This window comes from Homo sapiens, chromosome 13 (genome assembly GCF_000001405.40).
Source record: "Homo sapiens chromosome 13, GRCh38.p14 Primary Assembly".
NCBI classification, from domain to species: domain Eukaryota; kingdom Metazoa; phylum Chordata; class Mammalia; order Primates; family Hominidae; genus Homo; species Homo sapiens.
In genome coordinates this window covers 90915934-90927007 of record NC_000013.11, presented here as the reverse complement: position 1 = coordinate 90927007, position 11074 = coordinate 90915934, and the positions used below count along the sequence as shown (strand labels likewise).

General features: G+C 35.8%; 1 long non-coding RNA gene across 1 annotated transcript in view; it reads left to right on the top strand.

Moving 5' to 3' along the window:
* The first annotated feature begins 410 nt into the window (after positions 1–410).
* Positions 411–11074, top strand: part of LINC00410 (long intergenic non-protein coding RNA 410) — a 35644-nt gene continuing 24980 nt past the window's right edge. Inside the window, exon 1 of the long non-coding RNA NR_027039.1 lies at positions 411–527. This is a non-coding gene — a long non-coding RNA (long intergenic non-protein coding RNA 410). The remainder of the gene's footprint in view (positions 528–11074) is intronic.

Genomic DNA, 11074 nt, shown 5'->3' with positions numbered 1-11074 from the left:
AGCCTCTCTCTTTCCTGCAGGGGTAAAAGTTTATTCTCCTGAAACGAATGAAGTTTAAATCTCAGGACCCCTCAATTGCCCGAGCTCCTCCGAGACCATATGTCTAATTTTGTATTTGTAGTTTTGTCTTCTTTTTCTTAAAGAGGGCCCCTCAAATTTTATAAGCTTTAGACTCCACAGAAACTGGTTACTGGGGTGGGGGGGTGTATAGGGTTGGGCTTCAGAAAAGGACATGATGTGGCAAGACTACAAATCCTTTTAGCACCAGCTGGCAGATTCTCCACCACTTGGTAAATACCCTGTCAGCATTATCACCCTTGACTTCACTTTACTACTCCACAACACATCTAAAAAAGAGTTAATCAGTGACAAATTCTTCTGTGATAAATTGCTTCCAAGATCTTTTACACAACACTCGGGCCAAGTAAACTTGAGAGGTTTAATACGTGCATGTATTAAGTGCTGCAAGACTTCAAGGAAGCTTTCAAGCCAATGAACTCTAAATTGTATGGAAAGGAAAATGCAGGGTGAGTTGTCCTTCTGATGCATTACTGTTCTTTAAAAACATTACTCATCAGTAGTTTTGGAATAAAATTGTCTTTCTGTTTTGTGGATACACTTTGTGTTTAGACCACTTCTATGACCACAAGCATGCATTAATGGGGAGGTAAAAATATATACCTGGGGTCTGCAAACTTTTTCTGTGAGGAGTCAGCTCATGAATACTTTCAGCTTTGTAGGCCATGCAATCTCCCTTGCAAATACTCAACTCTAATGCTGTAGCATGAAAACAGCCAGAGGTGGCTGGGTGCTGTGGCTCATGCCTGTAATCCCAGCACTTTGGGAGGCTGAGGTGGGTGGATCACTGGAGGTCAGGAGTTCGAGACCAGCCTGGCCAACATGGCTAAACCCCATCTCTACTAAAAATACAAAAATTAGCTGGGCATGATGGCACATGCCTGTAGTCCCAGCTTCTCAGGAGCTGAGGCAGGAGAATCGCTTGAATCCAGGAGGCGGAGGTTGCTGTGAGCCGAGATCGTGCTGCTGCACTCCAGCCTGGGTGACAGATGGAGACTCAGTCTCAAAAAAACAAAAAACAAGAACAGCCAGAGGCAAGACTTAAATAAGTGGTTTTGGTTGTGTTTCAATAAAGCTTTATTTATGGACTTTAAAATCTGAATTTCAATGTGTCAGGAAATAGTATTCTTTTGCATTTTTAAGAAATTATTTAAAAATATAAGACCATTCTTACTTCATAGGGTAAAGCAGTCTAGATTCAGCCTATGGACCATACATTCAAACCCTTGATATATAGTAATAGTGAAAAGAATAAACATTTTAGAGCATTCATACTTGGTTTTCAATTTTGAGTCTGTTGCTATTAGGTCAATGAAATTGTGCATCTGTGTTTCAACTCCCCGGATCCAGAGCTTTCTCATCTATAAAATGGGCTTGTTTAACTTGTTGGCAGGATTACATGAAACATGACATTTCAAAGCACCTAGCATAGTCTCTATGGAGTTGTAGTTCATCAATATATTCAAATTCTTTTCTGTTTTTTTGACTATTTATTTGACTGACTGACCGATTTGTTAACATAAGTATCTTGAACAGATATTGTACAGTCACAAAAACTGAAAAGAGTTTTGAAATTAAACATGAATTTTTAGGTATGCAAATTGGTGGGATAATATGACAAAAATCTCATTCATATTTGAATCAAAGTTTGTATCACCTTTATTTTAACATTGTTCTTTGGGGTCATGTCGTTTTCTTTGCATTCTTAAATTTTTTTATGTTTAAATCAAAGTATTTTACTTTTTTGTATTTGGTTTAATTCATATTATAATAATTAGGTGCTTCTCCTGTGAGTTTTTACCATATCTGCTCCAATGGGTTTACCTTGTGTATAGCCATGAGGACCTTGATAGTTGAGGACTGCAAATGCTACATGCCACTCTAATAGTGTATGTTTGTATATTATATCAATGTATGTGTCAAGGATGTAACTACATTAGTATACACTGAAGGTTTACACTGTTGACCAAGGCCACAGGAATCCATAGGAAAACTGGATTACTTCTAGACAATCTGCATTCAATTAGTTCTTAATAGGAGATATATTATAATTTTCATATTATTAATTAATTAAATAATAATATGTCAAATTTCTAGGACAAAGGGAAGAAGTAATGGACTTTAGACTCATTCAGGGAACTTTTTCAAAATACACACATTCTGATTTTTCACCACCAGCCTTCCCCATCTTTTCAAAATACAAAGAACCATGGGGTGGGGAGAGTGATTATTTGTATTTTGAATAATAAAAACTCCTTAGTTGAGTTGGACACAAACACACACACGCACACAGCACTTTTGGAGGTAAATGACATGGCTTTTCTATCTGTTTGGGTTCCTCCTAGTCAAGTAGTTATTTTGCTTCAATTCTTACTTTAGACGTGGAGGATTATTACCAGGGAGTTACATTCTATTTTCTCCAGGGCAGCAGTCAGAATTTCGATAATTTTTTCCTCCAGTCTTTGATGCTGGAAAAAGTTATTGAACATTCACTGAAGGTAGGACACTGCCACACACTGCGAGTTATAAAAAAGGATAAATGCTACTCCTCATGTTTGAGGAGGTAAAATATAATACCTAAGACTAGATGAGACAGGTACACACGTAAGCACATGTCACAATGTTAAGTGAGAGGTATGTGAAAGAAATACAATGTCCTATTGGAAATTGGATGATTGTGATATCACGTATGATTTCAAAAGCCAGGAAAGGTTTTATATATAATTGGAATTGCCATTTTAAAATGTTGCCAATGTTTAAGGAAATGAGTAAGTGGGCATTTCTTTATAATCTAGTGTTGCTCATAAATTCAGATTCTATTCATGCTATTGAAGTGTCAGGTACATCTTTATTTAAAAACGTTTGAATCATTCTCTTAGGAGTAGCATCCACAAACATTTTAACGCATTTGAAGGTGACAGATTTCCTAAAGCATTTTCTATCATTTTTTAAGAGCCTATAGCTATAAAATCCAGAATTTATTTAACATAATAATTCATCATTCCAATGCAAATTCCTCAAATGGATCAAGCCATATTAGATTTAGCTTTTTTTCCCCCAAATGAAAGATTTCATCATGGCACATTCTACATTTTCTGATTTTCATTAAACAGAGAGGAAAGAAAAAAAGCACTGAAAAATCCACCTATATCTATAATTTATGAAATAAAAGGAATAATCTCTAGAATGCTTACAAAGCATGAAAACCTAAATAGATTCAATGGATTTTGTTAAACTTTGTGCTCTTTAAGCAAGAATTGCCTTCTGGCTTGTACATATGAAAATTATAATTTTAACAGTAAGATGTATTTTAGGAAAACTGAACACCAATGGGAGATTTTTAATTTGATGCTAAATATGTTTATCAATTTCTTACATTTGTGTTTTAAACTCTTCAAATTCTTTAGCAAGACATTTTGATCACTTGTTAAAGTCTAGTTTGTTAGACTACACAGAAAAATTAGATAAGATTTAGTTCAATTTCATTGTGGGCAGCCCATGAAATATTTAATTTATAATAAAATGAATTTTGTTTCTCTCCAGATCCTCATTTCACATTTCACTAGAGAGACTTTAGTCATAGAGATATAGTGAGTGGAAATCCAAATTGCCTTTTGGAAATCTTTCAGTAAGGCCAGAGTTTTAAAAAAGTAAATGTTTGAGACACATATATTGAATCCAATTTCAATAACTATTTGAACTTAAGAGATAAGTAAGTCAAATCAAAAGGCAGAGAACTGGATGATATTTACCCCGATTTTGTAACTTTAAAATTTTTGCTGTAAAAACTTTTCTAATGACTTAAGAGAAACGCAATTAAGAGATGATAGGTTTGGGTAGTTGCTCTCAAAATATATGTTTTTAAAAAGAAATCATTAAATAAAGTTTTGTTACCTTAATTTGAACGGTTCTCTCACAGTTAAGAGGGTTTCTCTACCTGCAGGATTTGCTCATAGGGCACACGCACAAAAGTGTCACTTGTAGCATGCCAGTGACTCAAGAACTTCAAGAATCATCATCATATGTGATGAGAATGAGACAATAAAATGGAAATTCCAGAATGAGCATACCTTAAAGCTTTAATATTAATAGTGCTGTTACATGAACATTAGTAATTTGAGTATATATGTATATATATATATATATATATATATATATGTGTATATATATATATATATATATATGTATTTTCTGCACTATGTTTATTGACATAAATAGATGGGGAAATTTTATCTCTAGTACAAATCAATGGGTCCTGGGTAATAAAAAAAGAAATATTATACAAGCAATGGCCATATCCACAGCACTTCTATTTTCCTTGCATTGAACAATTTGTGTCAAAATAATTATTTTAAATTTTTCCTGTTATCTCAAATTAGTGACATATGTGAAGTAAATTGATTACTGTTTCCAAATTCCTTTCACATTTTTAAATTCGCATGCTCATTTATTTCAAGAAATAAATTCTATTGTATCCAATGTTAGGGTAGGTACCAAACCAAAAGTTCTAGCTATTCTAAAACTAGGTGTTCGGAGTGTAAAATTTGGTCCCTATTAGAAACCAAACTGTAAAGCATAACTATTGAGCATACATAATGCTGGTTCCCATAGTTTAAAACCTACCTTTAATGATCTAAGAAAGAGTTTTGTAATGTAAGACTGAAAAAAATTGTTAAATGAAAACTTATCAAAATCTATGATGAGTTTCATCATAGATTTTGTAGTAGATTTCATCAAAATCTACTACAGGCAGCTTACCAATGGCTAACCTAAGTCCTCACAATCACATTGTGTTATGTTCTGGCTAACACAGAGTTATTACTAAAATGTGGTTCTAGTATTAACCACCAACCTATCTGTGGATTGGGGGAATATTAGCTAGAAATATGAGTGGCATAGCTGTCCTTATCTCATTTGCTTCTTCACTCATTTTAAAGCCTTCTCTCTGCTTTTGTATTATTGCCTGGTCCATACTCTTGTGCCTTGGACAGAAAGTTTTTTCTTTCTTTCTTTTTTTGGTTACCCCAAATTCAGTCTTATGTAACAAGCATTCTTTCTGAGGTGTATAGACAAATATATATTTATATCTGTTTTTCTTATTTTTATTTATATTCGTAACTGCTATTAAGCAACTCACATAATGCAGAAACTACAGGAAGTAAAATTTCAAGTGACAGAATGCCTGAAAATATCTATGAAAGCTTATGCTGTTCCTTTGAAACTTTTTTTAAAAGAACATTCTAATGTTAGACAGGAAAAAAAAATGATATCTTCCAGTCCAAATAACTTTCTTCATTACTCAAGCACTTTTCCTTTCTTTTACGGCTGTTTCTTATCTACAGCTGCAGTGAATGGGGAGAAAATTCTAAGTTTTTAACCTTATAGTTCAAGGGTTGTGGTTTAACTCTTTCATATCTGTTAGTATTGGATACATTCTGCTACAAAAGGAATTAATTCCACATGAACAGAGAGCAAACCAGAAAAAAAAATATTTGAACCATCCAATCTGTGGGCCCAAATTGTATTTTTAGTATAAGTTTGTCATTTAACTTATATATTTAATACATTTAACTTAGATATTTACTTCTGAATGCATTAATTGAGCAATATAATTATAATTATCCATCCAGTTCCCTGCAACTTTCACCTATTGATCAGACCTATTGCAAATGGCAATAGGTCTGATCTAAAGACATAGATTTATAATAGCTCCAAATAACTGGAGAGAGATGTTGATTTTAACAATTACTCCCTTAAAACCCTTATTACGCTCTCTTTAATCCCAAAAATAACACCGACACAACAATGGAAAGATCATATTATTACCTTACTTTTACTGAAGAAAAACTGAAACACAAAGAAATTAATCTGGGCCATATCAGACAATGGCAATGGTAGAAGTAGGATTTCAATTAAGACAGTCGAGCTCCAGAGTATATGCCTGAAGGCGCTGCTACATGTGTATTCTGCGTTCATTCAACATTTAATAAAAGCCCATGTGTTAATCACCAACACAGACACAGAGATGCTCAGTTATAAAAATGAAGAAGAGGTATCCCCAAGGCACCCTGAGTATAAAAGTGACATGCAAAAGACAGTAAAAACGACAAAAATTAGTTCCATAAAAGTGTGTGCAGCGTACAATGGAAATAAAATGAAGAGATAACTGATTTAACTTTGGTGTAAGAGTGAAAATTTAAAAAGCCTTCCTAGAAGGCACGAATTCATGAACTGCAACTTAAAATCAGGTTAGTGTTTCTCAGGAAGACCAAGGAGAGTCAAAAGTGGAGTTGCCATATGAGCAAAGGGATAAAGAAATGAAGCCCAAAGAAATCACAGGAGGTTCCTTGCGATGGTACAGTAAGGCTTGAAGGCTGAGGGCAATACAAACTAACTCGTGAGAGTGATGGGAAAGCAAGTCTTGGAGGACTGTGCATAGCTTATTGAAGAATGTAAAAACTTTCTTACAGAAATTGGATACTCACTGAAGATTTTAAGCCCAAAAGATCTGGGGTCGAAGGCTGGACCCCAAATGTGCACAATGATGTGTAAGGCGCTGGAGTCCTAGAAGTCTCAGTTCTGTCACTTGTGAAGTGCAGATTATTCATACCTACTTCATGGTGTTTTATTTTTTGATACAGGGTCTTGCTTTGTCACCCAGGCTGGAGTGCAGTGGCGTGATCTTGGCTCACTGCAGCCTGGACCTCCCATGCTCAAGCAATCCTCCAGCCCCAGGACCCACAGTAGCTGGATCTCCAGGCACGTGCCACCAAGCCAGGTTAATTTTTTTTTTTTTTTTTTTTTTTTTTTTGAGATGGAGTCTCGCTCTGTCACCCAGGCTGGAGTGCTGTGGCTCGATCTCGGCTCACTGCACGCTCCGCCTCCTGGGTTCACGCCATTCTCCTGCCTCAGCCTCCCGAGTAGCTGGGACTACAGGCGTGTGCCACCACGCCCGGTTAATTTTTTGTATTTTTTGTAGAGTAGCTAGGACTACAGGCGTCTGCCACCACGCCCGGTTAATTTTTTGTATTTTTTGTAGAGACACGGTTTCGCTATGTTGCCCAGGCTGATCTCAAACTCCTGAGCTCAAGCGATCTGCCCACCTAGGCCTCCCAAAGTGCTGGATTACAGGTGTCAGCCACCACTCTCGGCCTTCATGGCCTTTTGTGAGAAGTGAGACAATCATATGTAACATACATCTGATTCTTTATCCCCGAGTTGAGAAGGAAAGGAGAAGCAGAAAGAAGGTAGGCAGGTAGGCATGTCTGTGTGTGGGCGGGGGCGGGGAGGGGGTAGGCTCCCTAGTCGTTTCAATGGTTGTGTAGTCTAGATTAAGGCAAATGAGGGCTCCTCTTTATGCGTTAAGGCAGGATTGCACTTCCTTACTCTCCTTGAACCCAGACATAACCATTGACTGGCTGGTCCAGTGAGCTGTTAGCAGAGGAATATGTCTAGCTTTAGATGGGAGCACTTAATTGCCATGATAATACCACCCAGCCCTCTCTTCTGCTGCTGCAATGTTCATGGAAGCTTCTTTGGAGGAAGGTCTGTGTCCTGCTGGGTCCCCAAGTGATTGTGTGCTCCACTCTTAGCTCCTGCTGGGCCTGTATTATGAGAGGAGAAGTTCTTGTTGAGATAAGCTGCTGTGAATTTGAGAGTTGTTCCCAAAGCATAACGTATTCCATCTGATTATACAGAGGTCAAACGGCTTCGTAGAATTGCAGTTGAGTACAGTGTCTCTCACTTGGGGACATGGGAAAATAGGATAAGTGATTGCTGAGGGATGAATGCAAACTGAAGTTTCAATAACTGTGAAAGACAAGAGAACAATTCCAAACTGGAATACTTACTTCAAAAGAAAATAAAAATTACATTAATAAGCTGGAAGAAATCTAAACCAGTCCCTGGCTGGCTGTGTGCTACCCCATGATGGGGTTAATATGTGTGTCTGAGGAACATCTGGTTGAAATAATCTGGTTGAAACTAACATGATGCCTAGCATATAAGGTAAGCTTGACAAATAGTAGTTGCTTTATTCATCTTCCAATTTCTTCTTTTATAAGATCCCGTTTGCTACTTATTTACCAAAGGGCTAGAATTGTTTGACCTAAGAAACCTTAAAAATGCTGTCTATGTAATGAGTTGCTTCTGCAATTTAGTGTTCCCAGAGTTAAGCACTTCACATGCAAACTTAAGTGTGCTGAGTCATTCACTTTCCTCCATTCAGTATCCAGTAGTGAATAAGCCATGAGCTCATGCTTTTCAACTTAGAAAAATACGAGTACCAAATATCTTCATCCCACATAGTTTTATTCCTTCATTGCTGCATTGTACAGATGTCTACAGGATGTTTCTAATCACAGCATTTCATTTGATGACTATATGGAGGCAGACACTTTGACCTTATTAACATACATAAATTGTTGGCTCTGATGACTATACAGTCATTGAAGGGCTGTACATCTGATTAGCATGTGTAGTGGGAGTATTTTTTTGTGTAACATATTATGATGTGTTAGAAAAATTCTAGTAGACTATGGAATAGTCTATAGAATTTCTATAGCTTAATTTATAGAATAGATTGTGGAATGACATCTAACACTCAGAGATGGACAATCAGAAGAGAAGTCACAAGTCATGATGGGTCCAGAAACATATGTAAGTGTGCAGCACAAGGAGTTGAAGCTTGAAGTTTTATCACAATCAAGTATCCAGTGATTTAGAGAAAATACAACTCACCAGTAACTGGCACCAGAATCTCACTCATTCTTTGCCTTTCTTTTTGTGTGTGTGTGAAAAGGGATTGGCAGGAGAGATTTTAGAGGATTGTACTGAATGCTCTACGAGGGCAAAAAGATGAATTAGACATAATCCAAAAGTTCACAGAGTTTAAGCATGACAGTTAAATTAATGTATAAGAGTATCCTAGCATGGGATGGGGTTTTGGAAAAAAAAACAGAGGTTGAAATGAATACTAACAGTTTCAGTCTGAAGTAATGTGAGGAGCAATAATAACATCATGGAGTTAGTAGAGGTTTTAGCACTAAAATAGTCCAATCTTTCAACTCATCAAGAATAATTTACAAGGCTAAACATCCCTCATGACTTGAGAACATGTTATATCTAAACTTTATGATAAGGTTACCAAGTAGTTTATTAACCTTAAATCTTACATTTAGCAATCATCTTTTCACTAATGAGAAAGTTCTAGGTACATTATACATTTGAAGTCATACACTAAAAAAAAAGTTTCTTAATGTTTAATAAGCTGAATTCCACCAATGTTTACATGACAAAATAAAAATAAGGGCAAACATAAAAATTGGAATAGATATTTTTCCTAGAAATTAATTTTACATCTATTCAAAATTAAGAAGCCCATTGTATAGTGTAATGACCTTTCATAATAGCAATATCTAGACTCTATGTGCTAAGAGTGTAAGGTTAGAGCACCAGGATTATAAGCCTGATCTAAGCTTGTGCCTCAAATTTCAGGAATCCTAAATATCATCCACAAAACTTTTTAATACTGCATGATAATGAGAAAACAATACTTTGGTTATCTAACTAGTTTATTTACAAGTTTAGGGATATTCAGTACAGTGCTGTCTCAAACATATTATGTTTCATAAGTGGATCAAAAGTGGATACCATAACTCACTTGATTTTACTGTCATCATTGAACACAATTTGTTGTTATTTTGATACATAATATAGGTGATCTATATTTTTTAGTGTTTCCATCATAAAAAAATATATTTTAAATTGACCTCAAATTATTATTATTATTATTATTTTGAGACGGGTTATTAATTATTATTTTGAGACACAGTCCTGCTCTTGTCACTCAGTCTGGAGTGCAGTGATGCAATCATGGCTCATTGCAGCCTCAGCCTCCTAAGTTCAAGTGATCCTCTTGCCTCGGTCTTCCTAGTAGCTGCGATTACAGGTGCAAATCACTGCTCTAGGCTAATTTTTTATTTTTTTTTTGTGGAGACTGGGTCTTGTTATGTTACCCATGGTGGTCTTGACCTCCTGGACTCAAGCGATCCTCCCGTCTTGGCCTCCCAAAGTGCTGAAAACATTGTGCCCTGCCGACCACGAATTACATTGTAAATGCCTTTAAGTGACAGCTATGGAGAGAATTTAAAGGAGAAATAAGAAAAAAAGGTTGCTGAGAGGTATTAACTACTAGAACAGGTGACATATCCACTTTTCAGTGTCTTTATAAAAGAGAAAACTCTTGCAAATTAGGATTAACTGGTAGTGCAAAAGCAATAAAGTAATGTCTGAAGATGTAAAGGCAAGTAAGAATTTTAATGCAACTTTAAAATAAGGTCTGCATTTACATTGAGTCGTTAATCTCTATAAGACAGTTGACAGGTTTGTATAAAAAATAGAAGCCACATTAAATTGTGTAGATTCAGAAATATTTAGAGGTCAGATTATTTAAGATAGTAATGTATAAGGCATGGCTCTATTTCTATAAAATATAAACTTACTAAACATTTTTCAAAAAGTCTCTGGCAGAATGTATACTCTTTTGAAGATGATTAAAACATGGCTTTTAATTTTTATAACTCCTCTCATTGAAATTGCTTTCACACTCAGTTTATAATGCACTTGAGGTGAAATAAGAATCATTACTAGGTAGTTAGATCTTCTTGACATCTGAGTTCTCTCTAAAAAAACACACTTATTGTCAAAAAATAAAGCTTTGCCAACACTGAAGATATTAAAAAGAAAATGCTGCTGGTCTAGAGGTAAGATGAAAGAGGACCAAATAAAGTGTTTTGAGCAATGACAGCATCACTGAAATAAATGGACATCTTTCCTTGGAAATTCTGTGTAGTTGACAGTGTTCATTTGTTCAGGGAAGAAGTGTCTGGCGGGTGCAAAAAAAAGAGCTTCCATACATTCCATTCTCTTTCACAGTTGATTCTTTTTTATCGGGAGCTTAAATGTAGTGTCATCTAAGGTTCTGCCTTCTGCCCTC